The 19,732-nt window shown below is 42.4% G+C and overlaps 1 long non-coding RNA gene, 1 other non-coding gene and 1 pseudogene across 2 annotated transcripts in view; 1 reads left to right on the top strand and 2 right to left on the bottom strand.

The window, feature by feature from the left end:
• RNU6-891P (RNA, U6 small nuclear 891, pseudogene) lies at positions 11,230 to 11,339 on the bottom strand (annotated as a pseudogene).
• On the top strand, positions 15,232 to 15,333 carry LOC124900887 (U6 spliceosomal RNA). Its single transcript, XR_007058520.1, has one exon. It is a non-coding gene; the product is annotated as a U6 spliceosomal RNA (small nuclear RNA).
• A 242-nt stretch (positions 15,334 to 15,575) lies between these two features.
• Positions 15,576 to 19,732, bottom strand: part of LOC124900710 (uncharacterized) — an 8,902-nt gene continuing 4,745 nt past the window's right edge. The window contains exons 2-3 of the long non-coding RNA XR_007058131.1: positions 19,198 to 19,336; positions 15,576 to 15,609 (exon numbers count right to left, since the gene is read on the bottom strand). This is a non-coding gene — a long non-coding RNA (uncharacterized LOC124900710). The remainder of the gene's footprint in view (positions 15,610 to 19,197; positions 19,337 to 19,732) is intronic.

Genomic DNA, 19,732 nt, shown 5'->3' with positions numbered 1-19,732 from the left:
CATAGTTAACAGTTTCTGAACTTAGCTGCACATCGAAATCACCCAGGAATCCACCCCAGACCTCTTGTGACAAATAATACAAGGAGGAATCCTAAAAACAGTATTTTGAACAAATTCCAGGTCCTTCTCATGTAATCAACCAAGGCTCTCTGTCTGTGGACTGCTGGGAATCTCTGGTTCACCCTGCCTTAGTGTTGCCTCCCTCTTCTCTATTTTTAGTGCTTTCTCCTTTGCTAGTGGTTCTGTATTTCCCACGGTCCCCAATGTCAGGACAAAATCTATCTGATATGTTGTTAACACCCTAGTGTGGCTTCATTTAATGTGCTATTTCTTCAGAAATGCTAATGGTGGGATTTGAGACTCTATGACAGCTTGGGGTGGGGGTGGTTGAGGGAGGAAAGGCTTTGCTTCCTGGTCCCACAAATGACATTACTTAGGGAATAGCTTCTTTTTACCTATCCATAAAGTCGGTCCTACATATGCATCATTATACAGAAATGCATTTCAGGAAGACAGCACGAAGGAAGTCAATGGAAAATCTGGATGGCATCTGGAATCTTAACTTGCAAGTCCCTATTAAACAAAATTTCCTAGTTTTCTTTTTTTCTTCTTCCTTTTTAAATTAGAGCATACGTGAGAAAGTTTTTTTTCAAGAATAGAGGATTTCTCTCACTGGAATTATTCAACACAGTCTGGATCCTAATTTAGCAGGGACATTTTAAAGAAGATTAAACATTGGATTTGAATTTTTAAATAATCCTTAATATTTTTTCTGTCCCAAAGACTTTATGGTCCTCTGACATAGCAAAAGTTATTTTTTTGATTAGGCATTTCTCCAGTTGATGACAAGTAGGAATAAAGCCTTTACTTTTGACACATGTCTGCTAGCTGCTTTAGTTTGACCTGTACCTGGGAGTTCCTGCCCAAGGCTACCATAAGACTTAGAAAAGACCCTTTTCAGGAGAGTAGGATTTCCATAGGAGTCCAAACAGCTCTTGAAATTGCTCTCTTGGCCCAGGCTCTGCTCTTTTGTCCTGTGAATTATTGCATTAGTTCCCTAATCAACTCTGGTCTCTTGTCTTCCTACAATCCCTCCTTCAAATTATTGCCAGAGTTAAATTTATTTGTTTATTTATTTTTCTTGAGATAGGTCTCACTCTGTCACTCAAGCTGGAGTGCAGTGGTGTGATCATAGCTCACTGTACCCCTGACCTCCTGGGCTCAATCAATCCTCCCACCTCAGCCTCCTTAGTAGCTGGAACTACAGGCATGTGCCACCACACCTGGCTAATTATTTCATTTTTTGTAGAGATTGGTCTTGCTATGTTGCCCAGACTGGTCTCAAATTCCTGGGCTCAAACGATCCTCCTGCCTCGGCCTGGCAAAGTGCTGGGATTGTAGGCAAGAGCCACCATGTTCAGCACAGAGTTGAATTTCTAAATTTAAATGTGTTTATGTTACCTTCCTATTTCAGTGGGCACCCTATCTTCTTCCAGATGCAGTTCAAGTTCCTTAAGATGCATTCACCCAGTGCACCCAAACCTTTTTAATGCTCTCATTTCCATCAGACTTTCCAAAATTCTCATTATGTTAGTATTCCTGCTATAAACCATCTGCAATTCCTTGAATTCTCCAAGTCTTCATGCCTCTGGGGTTTTGCAAAAACTGTTCCCTCTGCCTGGGACAGGAGTCCCTCCTTCATTTTGTTTCTTTATTGATTTCTTCAAGAACCAATTTTCAAGAACCAATCATTACGATATGGAGCCTGGTTTCAAATGTAGTGGGGAACCAATACTGTACTTATTAAATGTGGTACATAAGAAATAAGCACCTCCAAGATCTTTTCACAGTGATAATTCTCATTCCTCTGATATCCTTCAGATCAGTAGGGTATATTCTGCTCTAGACCCTAGGATATGCTTCAAGAGGCCTCTCAGAGCTTAACTTGCAGCTTAGTGTTTTCTTTTTCCACATAATTTTTTTTCTTTTTTTTTTTTTGAGACAGAGTTTCACTCTTGTCATCCAGGCTGTAATGCAATGGCTCAATCTTGGTTCACTGCAACTTCCATCTCCTGGGTTCAAGCGATTCTCATGCCTCAGCCTCCCAAGTAGCTGGGATTACAGGCACGTGCCACCACACCCAGCTAATTTTTGTATTTTTTGGTAGAGATGAAGTTTCACCACGTTGGCCAGGCTGGTCTCAAACTCCTGACCTCAGGTGATCTGCCCACCTCGGCCTTCCAAAGCACTAGGATTACAGGCGTGAGCCACCATGCCTGGCCTTTTCACAGAATTTTTTTCCAAAGAAAATTTATTTTCCCGGGAGTCAGCTGCCTTAAATCCTTTCAGAACCAAGACAGTTTAAAACAAATAAATATTCAGGTAGAATTGGAGTGGGAAAACATACAAATACAAATACCATTTCCTTTAAACAATATCTAAGAAAATAATAGTCACCACTTATTAGATTCCTCTATTTGGTAGATCTATGTGCTATATTTACCTATATTGCCTTTACTGCCTTATCACTTTCTGCATTTACAAAATCACCTTCCTATGTGCTCTACCAAATAGAGCTACTTGGTTCTTCCTATGTGTCAGGTAGCTCACTAGCTCCACCAAATACAAGCTGGTGAGATACCTAGCACATAGGAAGAAACTAATATCATCTCCATTTTTATAAGTTAGGAAAACAAAGCTCAGAGAGATAAATAGCTTGACCAATATCACCATATAGCTAGACAGTGACATAGCTAGGATTTTATCAAAGTGTCTGACTCTGAAGTCTTATGTTTTCCTAAGTCATGGTGTTAAAGAAGGGGAGAAATTATTCCAAATACCATAGCCAATTTACCTTTCCCTTCATGCCTTGTTTCTTTTCTTTTTTTTTTTTTGAGATGGAGTCTTGCTCTGTCACCCAGGCTGGAGTGCAGTGGCACAATCTCAGCTCACTGCAACCTCCGCCTCCTGGGTTCAAGCGATTCTTCTGCCTCAGCCTTTCGAATAGCTGGGACTACAGGTGCGTGCCACCATGCCCAGCTAATTTTTGTATTTTTAGTAGATACGGGGTTTCACCGTGTTGGCCAGGATGGTCTCCATTTGTTGACCTTGTGATCCGCCCGTCTTGGCCTCCCAAAGTGTTGGGATTACAGGCGTGAGCTACCGCACCCGGCCCCTTCATGCCTTTTTTCCTAATGTCCTTGTTTCCTGTGACACAGTCTCTCTTTGTCTATTGTGCTTCCTTTTCCTTTTGCTCTCAATTTAGGAACACACTGGCTTCCGAATATCCTTTCACAGTAGAAAACTTGTCAAAATCCCGAATACAGCAGAATTACCAAGTTTAAAAGTGATGAAACATGGCACAGATCATATCTGAAGGAATATGCAAGAAACCGGTAACAGTATCTTTGAGGAGAATGGGATAACTAGGGGACTGTTGTTAGAGACAAGCCATATCCTATGTGTATGTGCATGCATGCACATGCATGTACATGTATGCATATATAATTTTGCAGTTTCACTTTTTTCTTTTTATACTATGTTCATGTGTTACCTATTTAAAAGAGGTGATTAGGCCAGGTGCGGGGCTCATGCCTGTAATCCTAACACTTTGGGAGGCTTAGGAGGGCAGATTGCCTGAGCTCAGGAGTTCAAGACCAGCCTAGGCAACAAGGTGAAACTCCGTCTCTACTAAAATACAAAAAAGTAGCTGGGTGTGATGGTGCGGGCCTGTAATCCCAGCTACTAGAGAGGCTGAGGCATGAGAATCGCTTGAACGCGGGAGGCGGAGGTTGCAGTGAGCCAAGATCGCACCACTGCACTCCAGCTTGGGTGACACAGTAAGACTCTCTCTCAAAAAAAGAGAGAGGTGATTATTCAGAATGATGCCTTTTATGAAAGAGTTCAGGGATATTTTGTATCTTGTGTGTGTCAGTGAATACTCTGTACCTTGGGCTCTGGTTACACTCTATCTTTTGCCATCTTAGGAAAAACTAGCTGATGCCACTACTTCTCAGTATCTGGATAGTAAACAACAAAAACAAAAACCTACCACCTTATCTTAGTAAGTATGCCAGAAGATGCCATAGCCTATGCTTCCACTTTCTAAATGTCCTCAGTGTGAACATTTAGTCAGAGTAGTACCGACTTAGCATTCATAGAAAATTCTGTTTTGTGACTGCCTCATCTACCTGGAGTAAATCAATTCCTTATCATAATCATGTTGACATTGTATTCTGAGAACTCTCTCAGGAATGCTGTTCACATTTCCAGTCTTGTTCATTTTTAAACATTTGCCATGGGGAAAAATGTGCTATTAATATGAAATAATCCTTTCATTTTGATTGAAGTTACTATTTCTTGACAGGACATTTTATTTCAATAACTAATCAGCTCACTCTTTCCCAGAGACCTGTTTTAACAAGCAAATTTTAACAAATGAAAAAGTTGCAGTATTTAGAGCTATATTCATCTGTTATGTGTCCATCATAAATAGGTACATTTTATTCTCTCACAGAAGAGTTTTCCAAATACAGTCCATGGGAGAAAGATAAAAATTGGTTGGCATGGACTTGTTAATCATGAATATAGCCCAACTGACGAAGCTAACCTAAGAAAAACATCACTGCAGCGAAAGACAAATTTTGAATTTGTGGCTCTAAGTGGATTCGTTTTCCTGTCAGATAAAATGAGGCAGTGATGGTGGTGAGAAAATGCCCCTCTTTGTCTTTCCTTGGAAATAACTGGTAGCCTCAATTCCTGAACTTCTGTTGTATCTACTCAACCTAATAAACTTTTTCCTTTAATCTTGGATGATGAATAGCACCTTAGTCACAGGTTACACAAATGGGCACCATTTATTTATGGTACTTGACTTCAATTCCTTTTCCTTTTGCTACCCTAGGCTTATTGACGTCTATGGGTTCACGATTTTTTGCTTCTTTCAAATGCAAAGAAGACTGTGGGGTGGGACCCTTTGAGATGAACTCAGCCTCACTGCATATCAGAAGAAAAGTATGTTCACCTCTAAGAATTAAGGGGCATGGACAATAAAATGAGTCCCCTACTTATTTCTTACTAATCAGAACAATTATCCCCTTCCAGCTCGTCTTCTAGCTCATGATAATGTGCCCTTTAGAGCTTTGAGCGCACCTTCTGAACATTCTTTCCTAAAGATGGGAGGTGATTGTTTCTTTCCTTCCTTCTCCTTACAGTCCCCTAAATCTAGAGTGTTTCTACCAATTTAGACTAGCTCTACCTCAGAAAGTGTCAGAGAAGAAGGCTGACAACCTGTCAGTGGTACTCTGTATACAGTACTATAATAAGGACCTGTTTTAGGATTACTTTGTTATAGAGAAGGTGGAGGAGTTCTCTCCTATTTAAAGCCAACCTCTGCCAACTGAGTTTTGATGCTGTCCTTTTCCACCTTTCTGGGAAACCACACATCAATTATGCTTATTTCTCCTCATTACTTAGTCCTCATCAACTGAACCCTTCCCAACACCACTTCAACAATGCTCTCATCTCACCAAATTTAATACAAACTAATCTAAACAAAGTAAAACAAAATCCACATTAGACCTATATTTCCTTTACTGCCTTATCCCTTTCTGCATTTACAAAATCAAACTTTTATTTTTTTCTACTTTCATCTCCATTTCCTCACCTCTGCTTTATTCTGGTTTCTGCTATCACTACTCCAAGAATAATGTCCTCCACAGGACATTATTAATTATTTGTGGAGTTTTTTGTTTGTTTGTTTTTGAGACAGAGTTTTGCTTTTGTTGCCCAGGCTGGGGTGCAATGGCATGATCTCGGCTCACTGCAGCCTCTGCCTCCCGATTCTCCTGCCTCAACCTCCCGAGTAGCTGGGAATACAGGCGCTTGCCACCATGCCTGGCTAATTTTTTGTATTTTTAGTAGAGATGGTGTTTCACCATGTTAGCCAGGCTGGTCTCGAGCTCCTGGCCTCAGGTGATCTGCCCGCCTCGGCCTCCCAACGTGCTGGGATTACAGGCATGAGCCACCGTGTCCGGCCTCAATTATTATTATTACTATTTTGATACAGGGTGTCACTCTGTTGCCCAGGCTGGAGTGCAGTGGCATGATCTCAATTCACTGCAACCTCCACTTCCTGGGCACAGGTGATCCTCCCACCTCAACCTCCATAGTAGCTGGGACCACAGGTGTATGCCACCACTTGGCTAATTTTTGTATTTTTTGTAGAGACAGGGTTTCACCATGTTGCCCAGGCTGGTCTCGAACTCCTGGGCTCAAGCAGTCCACCTGCCTCAGCCTCCTAAAGTGCTAGGATTACAGGCGTGAGCCACCATGCCCAGCCCTCCATAGGGCATTAAATGCTTGAGTACCTCAAGTCTGGTTTCTAGGCCTTTTTCTCTTCTTACTCTAAACTTGGTCTTAGGCAACCTCATCTAAACCAACAACTTCATTTATACTGACAACTCTCAAATGAATAGTTCCAGGGCAGACTTCTCTGGTTTAACACAAATTGAATTTAACACAAAATGGGGTTGGTTTGCTTCCAGTATATCTGTTTGTTCTAAACTTTCCTGGAAATGAAAATCATCCCCATCCACTCCACCCAACTCCAAACAAGAGTAAAATAACAGGAAACACTACCCCCTCAAACAAGCCCCAAGTCCTGTTGATTCTACCTCTGAAAAAAAAATTTCACAAATCTTTCCTCTTCTCTTCATCTCCATTGCTACCATACTAGTCAAAAATTGTCTCTCAATGTAAGACTTTTGTCCAAGAGAGCCTTTTCACTTCCATAATAAAGAATTAAATAACTAGCACTAAAGAAGGTTAATTATGGCTATCTGGGCTTAAAACAATAATAACACCGGCTGGGCACAGTGGCTTAGGCCTGTAATCCCAGCACTTTGGGAGGCGGAGGCAGGCGGATTACTTGAGGTCAAAAGTTAGAGACCAGCCTGGCCAACATGGTGAAACCCCGTCTGTACTAAAAATACAAAAATTAGCCAGGCATGGTGTTGTGCACTTGTAATTCCAGCTACTAGGGAGGCTAAGGCATGAGAATCATTTGAACCCACAAGGCAGAGGTTGCAGTGAGCCGAGATTGTGCCACTGCCCTCCAGCCTAGGTGAAAGAGTGAGACTCTGTCTCAAAAATAAATAAATAAAACAATAATAATAACACAATTTTTTTTTTGAGATGGAGTTTCGCTCTTGTTGTCCAGGCTGGAGTACAACGGAGCAATCTTGGCTCACTGCAACCTCCGTCTCCCAGGTTCAAGCAATTCTCCTGCCTCAGTCTCCCAAGTAGTTGGAATTACAGGCACCCACCACCATGCCCGGCTAATTTTGTATTTTTAGTAGAGACGAGGTTTCACCATGTTTGGCAGGCTGGTCTCAAACTCCTGACCTCAGGTGATCCGCCCACCTCGGCCTCCCAAAGTGCTGGGATTACAGGCGTGAGCCACCGCACCCGGCCAGTAACACAATTTTTAAAACCTGGCATTTCATAAGTTAAATCTAGACATACATATATAGGCATACCATGCAGATATTGCAGGTTTGGTTCCAGATCACTGCAATAAAGTGAATATTGCAATAAAGTGAATATCGCAATAAAGTGAGTTACACACATTTTTTGGTTTCCAGTGCATATAAAAATTATGTTTTTACTATACTATTGTTTATTAAGTGTACAATAGCATATGCATAAAAAAGTACCTTCATTAAAGAATATTTTATTGCTAATGAATGCTAACAATTATCTGACCCTTCAGTGAGTCATAATCTTTTTGCTGGTAGAGGGACTTATCTTTGATGTTGATGGCTGCTGACTCATCAGTATGGTGGTTGCTGAAGGTTGGGGTGGCTGACGCAAATTCTTAAGATAGGGCAACAATTAAGTTTGCTACACTGATTCTGTTTCATAAATGAAAGATCTGTCCTTTATGCAATGATGTTTGATAGCCTTTTACACACAGTGGAATTTCTTTCAAAATTGGAGTCAATCCTCTCAAACTCTTACCACTGCTTTATCAACTAAGTTTAGGTAATATTCTGTTTTTTCCTATTTATTTATTTTATATGTAATATTCTAAATCCTTTATTGTCATTTCAACAATGTTCACAGTATCTTCACCAGAGGCTGCAGTTTCTTGAGATAGAATCCTCAAAAAAACACTTTATTTGCTCATGTTTAAGAAACTACTCCTTATCCATTCAAGTTGGATCATGAGGTTGTAGCAATTCATTCACATCTTCAGGCTCCACTTCTAATTCTAGTTCTGTTTCCACCATCTTTGCAGTTACTTTCTTCACTAAAGACTTAAACCCCTCAAAATTGTCCATAAGTGTTTGGAACCAAGTTCTTCCAAATTCCTGTTAACATTGATATTTTGACCTCCTCCCATGAATCACAAATGTTCCTAAAGGCATCTCGAATGGTGGATCCTTTCCAGAAGGTTTTCAATGTACTTTGCACAGATCTATCAAAGGAATCACTGTTTATGGCAGCTATAGCCTTACAAAATGTATTTCTTAACTACTAAGACTTGAAAATCTAAGTTACTCCTTGATCCATGAGCTGTAGAATGAGTATTGTGTTAGTAGGCATGAAAACAACATTCATCTCCTTGTACATCTCCATTAGAGCTGTTGGGTAACCAGGTGCATTGTCAAGGAGCAGTAATATTTTGAAAGGAAACTTTTTTCCTGAGCAACAGATCTCAACAGTGGGCTTAAAATATTCAGTAAACCATGCTGTAAACAGATGTGCTGTCATTCAAGCTTTGCAGCTTCATTTATAGAGCACAGGCAGAACACATTTAGCATAATTCTACAGGGCCCGAGGATTTTCAGAATGGTAAACGAACATTGGCTTCAACTTAAAATCACCAGCTGCATTAGCCCCTAACAAGAGTCAGCATGTCCCTTGAAGCTTTGAAGCCAGGCCGTGACTTCTCATTTCTAGCAATGAAAGTCCTGCATGTCATCTTCTTCCCATATAAGGCTGTTTCATCTACAGTGGAAATCTGTTTAGTGGGTTCATCTTCATTGATTATTATGCTAGATCTTCTGGATAGCTTGCTACAGCTTCTCCATCAGCACTTGCTGCTTCACCTTGCACTTTTACATGACAGAGACAGCTTCTTTCCTTAAGCCTCATGAACCACCTCTGCCTAGCTTCAAACTTTTCTTCTGCAGCTTTCCAACCTCTCTTAGCCTTTATAGAACTGAAGAGAGTTAAGGCCTTCCTCTGGGTTCGGCTTTGGCTTAAGGGAAGGTTGTGACTGGTTTGATCTTCTATCCGGACCACTCAAATTTCCCCGTATCAACAATAAAGCTGTTTTGCTTTTTTTTTTTTTTAATCATTCATGTGTTCACTGGAGTAATACTTCTAATTTCCTTCAAGAACTTTTCCTTTGCATTCACAACTTGGCTAACTGATGCAAGAGGCTTAGCTTTCGGCCTGTCTCAGCTTTTGACATGCCCCCTTCCTCAATAAGCTTAATTGTTTCTAGCTTTTAATTTAAAGTAAGAGATGTATGACTCCTCCTTTCATTTGAACACTTAGAGGCCACTGTAGGGTAATTAATTGGCTTAATTTCAATATCACTGTGTTGCAGGAAATAAGGAGGCCCGAGGAAAGGGAGACAGACAGAGAAACGGCCACTCAACGGAGCAGTCAGAACACACACTACTTTTTACTGCAATAAAGCGAAACACAATAAAATGAGGTATGCCTGTATTTAAACAATACTTTGATATCTAATCTGAAAACATATTATATCCCTGAATTCACAGGGCATAGCACAGTGCCTGGAACACAAAAAGCACTTAATAAATTTTGTTAGATAAATGAATAATTGTTCAAAGTTAGTTTCTTTTCTCCTTTATACTCTCCCCAACTTCCTCTAAGTAAAAATTAAAACTTTCTGTTTTAATGCTTAGGTGTTACTCCTTTCAAAAGTCAAAATTACAATAAATTTAGTTTAAAGATCTTAATTGGCTTTTTGTGTGTGTGTGATTCATTCCATAAAACCAAACTCCTTTGCTCCAATGAGCCGAGCAAAGGAATTTGGCTTTATAGAGAGAAATAAGCTGAGGAGGCCGGGCATGGTGGCTCACATTTGTAATTCCAGCACTTTGGGAGGCCAAGGACGGTGGATCACTGGAGGTCAGGAGTTTGAGACCAGCCAGGTCAACATGGCAAAACCCTGTATCTACTAAAGACACAAAAATTAGCTGGGCATGTGCCTGTAATTCCAGCTACTTGGGAGGCTGAAGCAGGAGAATCGCTCAAACCTGAGAAGCGGAGGCTGCAGTGAGCTGAGATTGTGCCACTGCACTCCAACCTGAGCAACAGAGTAATATTGTCTCAAAAAAAAAAAAAAAAAAGAAAGAAAGAAATGGGCCGAGGAAAGCAGAAACAGAACAAAAAGTAGATTGGTCATTTCGAAGCTACTCTCCCTGTAAAGGTTAAAGCAGAAGGGACTTTATCAAGCCAGATAAAACTGGACTATTTGGGGATTTGCCTATTAACTCCTGCTACCTTGAAGTGTCACATAAACAACTTAGTTACAGTTTGGTGGTATGGAACTTCAGGACAAGTAACTCCATTTTGATTTGGTCTGTTGAGCCTAAAGAGATATAATTGTATTGAACAATTCCCCTCTTTTTGTCAGGGTCTCTCATAGGTGACAGTGTGACCAAGACTTAGGGCATCAGTACAATCTAACAGTCACCATCATTTTGGGGTGCGCTCTCCATACATCATTCATGGGTTACATTGTCTTTCTTATCATGTGTTTCTTTAAGTTTTCTTCATTCCAGCCCAAAAGACCGTTTAGCATACAGCAGATAGCTGCATGTAGATATTTAAGACTTTTTGAGAGGATACTGTGTACCAGGAAGACTAATATTGTGACCATCAGGAGGATAATACCAAAAATTCGGAGCATGTTTCTTACCCAGGGTCTCCATGAACTAAAGCAACTAAAATCAAACAGATCTAAGAATGAGCTAGATGAGGAGTCTGCCTGTTTTAACCAAGTAGGTATTAATTTTTAATAACTGAGTGTCTACAATACTTGATATATTTACCTATATGCAACAAGAAATATCAGCAACTACACAGACTACTTCCTGTTCAGCTAGTAGGTAATCTAGCATCCCATGATTGGGATAAATTAAGGCAGGAAGTGAGAACAAGTGGATCTAGAAGTCTTTTTTTTAAAAAATATGGAACGCTTCATGAATTTGCATGTCATCCTTGTGCAGGGGCCATGCTAATCTTCTCTGTATCGTTCTAATTATTTTAGCATATGTGCTTCTGAAGCCGAGCACTAGAAGTCTTACTTTATAAAACAGATCATGAGGCTGGGCATGGTGGCTCACACTTGTAATCCCAGCACTTTGGGAGGCTGAGGTGGGCAGATCACCTAAGGTCACGAGTTCGAGACCAGCCTGGCCAACATGGTGAAACCCTGTCTCTACTAAATATACAAAAAATTAGCCAGTCGTGGTGGCGGGTGCCTGTAGTCCCAGCTACTTGGGAGGCTGAGGCAGGAGAATCACTTGAACCTGAGAGGCAAAGGTTGCAGTGAGCTGAGATGTTGGCCAGGCTGGTCTCGAACTCCTAACCTCAAGTGATTTGCCTACCTCAGCCTCCCAGAGTGTTGAGATTACAGGTGTAAGCCACCGGGCCCAGCCCAACTTCTCATCTTGATTTGCAGTTTGATTGTCTCTGGTTATGGCATCATGCATTTTGGTGAAATCTCTATTTGGCCCACACATCAGTAATAGGACTTGTCCTTTGAAATTTACATTGAGTTGTCCAGCTTCTGCTTATAGGGCTTCAGGAACAGAGTAGTTCTTATTTTTAGTTGGAGAGTCGTAACCACATACTGGAGGAAACTAGAAGAATTCAGAATCTAGTCTAGTCTACAGGTAGATAATAAAAACTTGAGAACAAGGAACAGGGGTATACTCTATTAACAGGTATACTATAGCTATCCTCAGAAACATAGTTTTTCTCTCAATAGCAGTGGTCTCCAATCTTTTCGTGGAAGACAATTTTTCCACAGACCAGGGTAGGGGTGGAGGGGATAGTTTCGGGATGAAACTTCCACCTCAGATCATCAAGCATAAGATTCTCATGAGGAGCAAGAAACCTAGATGCCTCGCATGTGAAGTTCACAATAGGGTTCCCACTTCTATGAGGATTTTTTGTTTTTGAGACGGAGTCTCACTCTGTCACCTAGGCTGGAGTGCAGTGATATGAACTTGGCTCACTGCAACTTCTGCCTCTGGGGTTCAAGGGATTCTCCTGCCTCAGCCTCCTAAGTATCTGGGATTATAAGGGTGCACCGCCATACCCAGCTAATTTTTGTATTTTTAGTAGAGATGGGGTTTCACCATGTTGGCGAGGCTGGTCTTGAACTCCTGACCTCAATCCTCCCACCTTGGCCTCCCAAAGTGCTGGGATTACAGGTGTGAGCCACCACGCCTGGCCTCCTGTGAGAATTTAATGCTGCTGCTGATCTGATGGAGGTGGAGCTTAGGCGGTAATGCTCGCTTGTCTGCAGCTCACCTCCTGCTTTGTGGCCTGGTTGCTCATCTCCTGCTGGGTGGCCTGGTTTTTAACAGGTGAGCCAGGGGTTGGGGACTCCTGCTCTACAGTCACCCCCATTTCTACCAAAGATAATCGGGGTAAAACTAATTTGTTTGCAAAATAAGTTTAGTCTCATCAAACTTAGGCTGTTTATTTATACAAGTACAGCAAGAATAACAATTGACCACATAGGCGCTATTAAACTTTGCTTTGCTGGAACTTTTGATAGGAAATCAAATCCAACAGATTGGATTATTAACAACCTCTTGAGGCTATGAAGCCAAACCAAAGCATACCTCAGACTTTGTCTACAGTACCTGTAGATTAATTCTATGCACTTGTCAAATATGGTATCCCAGTGAAAAAATATAACTGATATTTCCAATTTTATTCTGAGAAAACTGAGCAGATTCTTATTGAACTAAACTATGAAAATAACTATATTGCCACGAAAATAAAAATTTTCATGAATATTTCTAAATTCTGGAGGGATCAGGTAGGTACTGAAAGTAAACGTTTCAATTTTTGTTCACACAAGTATACTTTGCCAAATTGCTGTAAGTTACAGATACCTTAAAAGAAAGAGTTGTCTTAAATCTGAAAAACAAAATATTAAAAAACCTGCAATATGGCCGGGCGCAGTGGCTCACGTCTGTAATCACAGCATTTTGGGAGGCCGAGGCGGGCGGATCACGAGGTCAAGAGATCGAGACCATCCTGGCCAATATGGTGAAACCCCATCTCTACTAAAATACAAAAAAATTAGTTGGGCATGTGGCGTGTGCCTGTAGTCCCAGCTACTCGGGAGGCTGAGGCAGGAGAATCACTTGAACCTGGGAGGCAGAGGTTGCAGTGAGCCGAGTTCGCGCCACTGTACTCCATCCAGCCTGGCAACAGAGCGAGACTCCGTCTCAAAAGCAAGCAAACAAACAAAAAACGTGCAATATTTCGAATAAAAATGCTGTAAAAACCCATAATTCTTCTTCATCAGTTTATTTAATCCCATGTAATTAATTTTTGTTCTGCTTGATCTTGGTTAGCAGCTCACGAACCCAGCAGTTTCTTCATTAGATTTCTGGAAATTTCTACCTAGTCCAGTGGTATGATCTTAAAGTTATCAGAAACCTACATTTATTTGTCAGAGTCCTCTCTATCCTTCTGTTAAAAGAAAAAGTCAGCAGAATTAAGTTTAAAGGAGTTTAGTTAAGCAATGAATGATTCGCGAATCAGACAGCCCCCAGAATCACAGCAGATTCAGAGAAACTCCAATGGTGTCTCGTGGTCAGAACAAATTTATAGATAAAAAAAGGGAAGTGACGTACAGAAATTGGAAGTGAGGCTCAGAAACAGCTGAATTAGTTACAGGTTGGCATTTGCCTTATTTGAACACCGTTTGAACACCCAGCAGTGTATGAATGGTTGAAGTATGGCTGTGCTGGGATTGGCTAAGACTCAGCTATTGTTATAGGCACTATTGTTATAACCTCTAAGTTAGGTTTTCAATTTTCCCTACCTATTAAGTTAGGTTGCAGTTCATCCAAGGACTCAAATATGGAAGTACAGAGTCCTTCTCATTTAGTTTGCTTTAATACTTCCCGTGAATCTTCGGAGTTTCCCTCTGTTGCCCAGGCTGGAGTGCAGTGGCACGATCTCAGCTCACTAAAGCCTCCATCTCCCGGGTTCAAGCAATTTTCCTGCCTTAGCTTCTCGAGTAGCTGGGATTATGGGTGCACACCACCATGTCTGGCTAATTTTTGTATTTTTAGTAGAGACAGGGTTTTGCCATATTGGCCAGGCTGGTCTTGAACTCGTGACCTCAGGTGATCTACCTGCCTCGGCCTCCCGAAGTGTTGAGATTACAGGCATGAGCCACTGCCCCAGGCCACACTTCCATAAATCTTCTTGAAGACACAACACTTTAGGATTACAGTTGTTTGCAAAAAGCTCTCAGAAGGGCTGGGCAGGTGGCTCACGCCTGCAATCCCAGCACTTTGGGAGGCCAAGGCAGGCAGACCGCTTGAGCCCAGGAGTTCGAGACCAGCCTGGGCAACATGGTGAAACCTCATCTCTACAAAAAAAAGAAAAAAAATAAAATTAGACGGGTGTAGTGGTGCACACCTGTAGTCCTAGCTACTCAGAGGATCCCTTGAGTCAGGGAGGTGGAGGTTGCAGTGAGCCAAGATCATGATACTGCACTCCAGCCTGGGCAACAGAGTGAGACTCTGCCTCAAAAAAGAAAAAGAAAAAAAAAAGGTTTCAGAAGAGCATAAGAATAAAAGAATTAACTATGGACTTAAAATGGCTATGGTTGAAAGTCTGATACGAGGTCAGGCATGGAGGTTCATGCCTATAACCCCAGCATTTTTGGAGGCCAAGGTGGGAGGATCACTTGAGGCCAGAGGTTCAAGACCAGCCTGGGCAACGTAACAAGATTTTGTGTCTACAAAAAATTTTTTAAAAAAATTAGCCAGGTGTGGTGGTGTGTGCTTGTAGTCCTAGCTACTTGGGAGGCTGACGCAAGAGGATCTCTTAAGCTTAGGAATTTGAGGCTGCAGTGAGCTATGATTGTACTACTGCACTCCAACCTGGGTGACAAAACAAGAACTTGGTTCTAAAAAAAATTAAAAATTAAAAAAATCTGGTGCTTGCAATTAGAATGATAGAGATGATTAGCATGGTCCCCTCCACAAGGATGACATGCAAATTGGTGAAGCATTCCGTATTAAAAAAAAAAAATCAGGCTGGGCGTGGTGGCTCATGCCTGTAACTCCAATACTTTGGGAGGCTGAGGCAGGTGGATCACTTGAGGTCAGGAGTTTGAGACCAGCCCAACCAACATGGTGAAATCCTGTCTCTACTAATACAAAACTTAGCTGGACGTGGTGGCGTGCACCTGTAATCCAAGCTGCTTACTCAGGAGGCTGGGGCAGGAGAATCACTTGAACCCAGGAGGCGGAGGTTGCAGTGAGCTGAGTTCTTTAGCCTGGGCAACAGAGGGAGACTCTGTCTCAAAAACAAACAAAGAAACAAACAAACAAAAAAACTAGATGAATGCCAGAATGCCATATTCTGGAAAATAATTTAGTCAGACTGGTGGCTTTTCAATTTTGCTTCTGTTTCTTAACTGGATTACTGAGTTTAGGGTGGAGTCCATTAACAAATAGGTCAGACACATCATTTTCTATGTCTGGACTCTAGCACTGATAACTCTGAAAAAAGAAGCAAAACTGCTTGACCTGAGGGACTAAGTTTTATAAAAACCACTTTTCCCACTTTCTTTTTGTCTTTGGGGTGTGATAGTAACTAAGCAAAAAGGTTGGCAGTTTCCATTTTTCTTATCGATTGGTTACTTAAGCTTTTCATTTGCCTTTTGTAATAAGTCTTTTAAAAGAGGCAAGAAAAAATTTTGAAATCTTTTTAGAAGTTTCTGCATATCCATAGGCATCCCTGGGTGGGTCTAATTCAGGAACTCTCTCTCTCTCTCTCTTTTGGAGACAAGGTCTTGCTCTGTAGCCCAGTCTAGAGTACAGTGGTGTGCGATCAGAACTCACTGCAGCCTCAAACTCCTGGACTCAAGAGATCCTCCCATCACAGCTTCCCAAGTAGCTAGTAACTACAGGGATATGTTACCATGCCCAGCTAATTTTTCAAAGTTGTTGTAGAAATGTGGTCTATGTTGCTCAGGTTGGTCTTGAACTCCTGGGCCCAGCTAATTATCCCTCCTTGGCCTTGCAAAGTGCTAAGATTACAGGTCAGAGCCACTATGCCCAGCAGGAACCCTCTTTTTTTTTTTTTTTTTTTTTGAGACAGAGTCTCACTCTGTCACCCAGGCTGGAGTGCAGGGGCACGATCTCGACCCACTGCAAGCTCTACCTCCCGGGTTCACGCCATTCTCCTGCCTCAGCCTCCCGAGTAGCTGAGACCACAGGCACCTGCCACCACACCCGGCTAATTTTTTTGTATTTTTTTAGTAGAGATGGGGTTTCACCGTGTTAGCCAGGATGTTCTCCATTTCCTGACCTCGTGATCCACCTGCCTCAGCCTCCCAAAGTGCTGGGATTATAGGCGTGAGGCACTGCGCCCGGCCAGGAACCCTCATTTTTAAATGCACTTCCTTTTTTTTTTTATTTGAGACAGGCTCTCCTTCTGTAGCCCAGGCTGGAGTGCAGTGGCGTAATCTCAGCTCACTGCAACCTCCGCCTCCTGAGTTCAAGCAATCCTCCCACCTCAGCTGGTAGCTGGGACTCCTGAGTAGCTGGGACTACAGGCACAAACCACCACACCTGGCTAATTTTTGAAATTTTTGTAGAACCAGGGTTTCACTGTGTTGCTGAGACTGGTCTCGAACTCCTGAGCTCAAGCAATCCACCCGCCTGAGCCTCCCAAAGTGCTAGGATTACAGGCATGAGCCACCCACCATACCTGGCCTAAATGCACTTCTTAAAGTTGAGTATCGGTCTGTCGTGGTGGCTCATGCCTGTAATCCCAGCACTTTGGGAGGCCGAGACGGGCGGATTGCTTGAGGTCAGGAGTTTGAGACCAGCTTGGCCAACATGGTGAAACCCCATCTCTACTAAAAATACAAAATTAGCCCGGCATGGTGGAGAGCACATATAATCCCAGCTATTTGGGAGGCTGAGGCGTGATAATTGCTTGAACCCGGGAGGCGGAGGTTGCAGTGAGTCCAGATCGTGCCACTGCCCTCCAGCCTGGGTGACAGAGTGAGACTCTGTCTCAAAAAAAAAAAAAAAAAAAAGTCGAGTATCACTCCTCTCATCTGGAATGGTCCATATAATGACCATTGTAATTTTAAATTATCTTTAGTAAGATTCCACTGGTTTCACCACCTTTATAAGTATTTTCAGCTACTGGGGCCTAATACAAGTAAAAGGCAGGTGTAGCTGGAAGGTGGAATATTCAGTTCTTTAGAAATTAAGGATCTGGCCGGGTGCGTTGGCTCACACCTGTAATCCCAGCACTTTGGGAGGCCGAGGTGGGCGGATCACCTGAGTCAGGAGTTCAAGACCAGCCTGGTCAACATGGTGAAATTTGGTCTCTACTAAAAATACAAAAATTAGCTGGGCATGGTGGTGCATGCCTGTAGTCCCAGCTACTCGGGAGGCTGAAGCAGCAGAATCGCTTGAACCCGGGAGGTGGAGGTTGCAGTGAGCCCAGGCAACAGAGCAAGACTCCCATCTCAAAAAAAAAAAAAAAAAAAAATTAAAGATCTCATTTTTACATTGACTCTTGGGTCTCTCAAAGTCAAGACAAAAGCCTAAGAGGGGGCCAGGCGTGGTGGCTCACACCTGTAATCCCAGCACTTTGGGAGGCCAAGGCAGATTGATTGTCTGAGCTCAGGAGTTCGAGAACACCCAGGACAACATGGTGAAACCCCGTATCTACTAAAAATACAAAAAAAAATTAGCCAGGCATGATGGCACCGCCTGTAGTCCCAGCTACTCAGGAGGCTGAGGCAAGAATCACTAGAATCCTGGAGGCGGAGGTTGCAGTGAGCCGAGATTGCACCACTGCACTCCAGCTTGGGCTACAGAGTGAGACTCCATCTCAAGGAAAAAAAAAAAAAAAACAGCCTAAGAGGGAAACATCATGGGGTTGGGTGGTATAATTCTTTCACAGTGTACCTCACTGCATAAACATTTTATTGAGGATGGCAAGTGCTACCTTGTTTCATGTCTAGTTTATTCTAACAGGTAGTCTCATTTTTTAGTGGCCAGCACTTTAATAGCTCTAAAGTACCTGAACTGTGCCCACTAGTTAAATGGTGGCTTTGGCTCTGAGATCCCCTTGACCAACTTACCCAGTGATTTTTTTCCTACCTAAGCATGCAAGAAAACCTAACAAAAAGGATAGAATTCAAATTCCAGCAGATTCCAAAAGCCAGAGTTCATGCCTCCTGCAGTAATAACCACTTAGAGCAACACTGTCTTAAAATGCAGCTCCTTGTTACCTGAGTCCATGAGTAAGGTAAACAACTAAAAAACAAACAAACCCCCCCCCCCCAAAAAAGAAAAAAAACTGCAGCTCTTAAACCAGACTTAATGGCACAGACCTGTAATCCTATAATCCCAGGCACTCAGAGCAAAGGCAGAAGGATCGCTTGAGCCCAGTAGTTTGAGGCAGTAATGTCCTGTGATTGTGCTTGTGAATAACCACTGCACTCCAGCCCGGAAAATAGCATCAGACCCCTGTCTCTTCTTTTTGTTTGTTTTTTCTTTTTGTTTTCTGCTTGTTTCTTTCTTTGTTTGTTTGAGACAAATGATTCCTATGCCTCAGCCTCCCGAGTAGCTGGGATTATAGGGGCGCACCACCACACTTGGCTAATTTTTGTATTTTTAGTAGACGGGGTTTTGCTATGTTGGCCAGGCTGATCTCAAGCAATCCACCTGCCTCTCAAAGTGCTGGGGTTACAGGCATGCGCCACCGCACCCAGCCAAGACAAAACTGCAGCTCTTGCCAATGACTTGTCAGCCACTGCAAACCACAAAAGGTCATGCACTGTCTCACAGCATAAACTAATCCTAAATTCAAAAGCCAAAAAAAAAAAAAGGAGTCCACCCGAGCGGAACTTACCTATAACCCTTGAGGCTCCATGAGGAAGACCGAGGACCTCAAAAGGCATCTGTGGCTCTGTGGCACCTCTCTGATATTCCTCCGGGAGTCTCAGAAGTCATCAGCAGTGTCCTTTAGGTCCCTTTGTCAGTTGCCAGAACTGTCAAAAGACAAAATTACAATGAATTTAGTTTACAAATCTTTTTTTTTTTTTTTTTTGAGACAGAGTCTCTCTCCGTCGCCCAGGCTAGCATGCAGTGGCGCGATCTCAGCTCACTGCAACCTCCACCTCCCAGGTTCAAGCGATTCTCTTGCCTCAGCCTCCCAAGTAGCTGGGATTACAGGTGTACACCACCATGCCCAGCTAATTTTTGTATTTTAGTAGAGATGGGGTTTCACCATATTGGCCAGGCTGGTCTTGAACTCCTGACCTCAAGTGATCTGCCCGCCTCGGCCTTCCAAAGTGTTGGGATTATAGGCGTGAGCCACCGCACACGCCTTTTAGAAATTTTTTTTTTTTTGTTTTTTGAGACAGAGTTTCGCTCTTGTTGCCCAG

Source organism: Homo sapiens, chromosome 4 (assembly GCF_000001405.40).
Source record: "Homo sapiens chromosome 4, GRCh38.p14 Primary Assembly".
Classification (NCBI taxonomy): Eukaryota; Metazoa; Chordata; class Mammalia; order Primates; family Hominidae; genus Homo; species Homo sapiens.
Note: the sequence above shows the minus strand (reverse complement) of the source record. Positions and strands in the feature narration are given on the sequence as shown.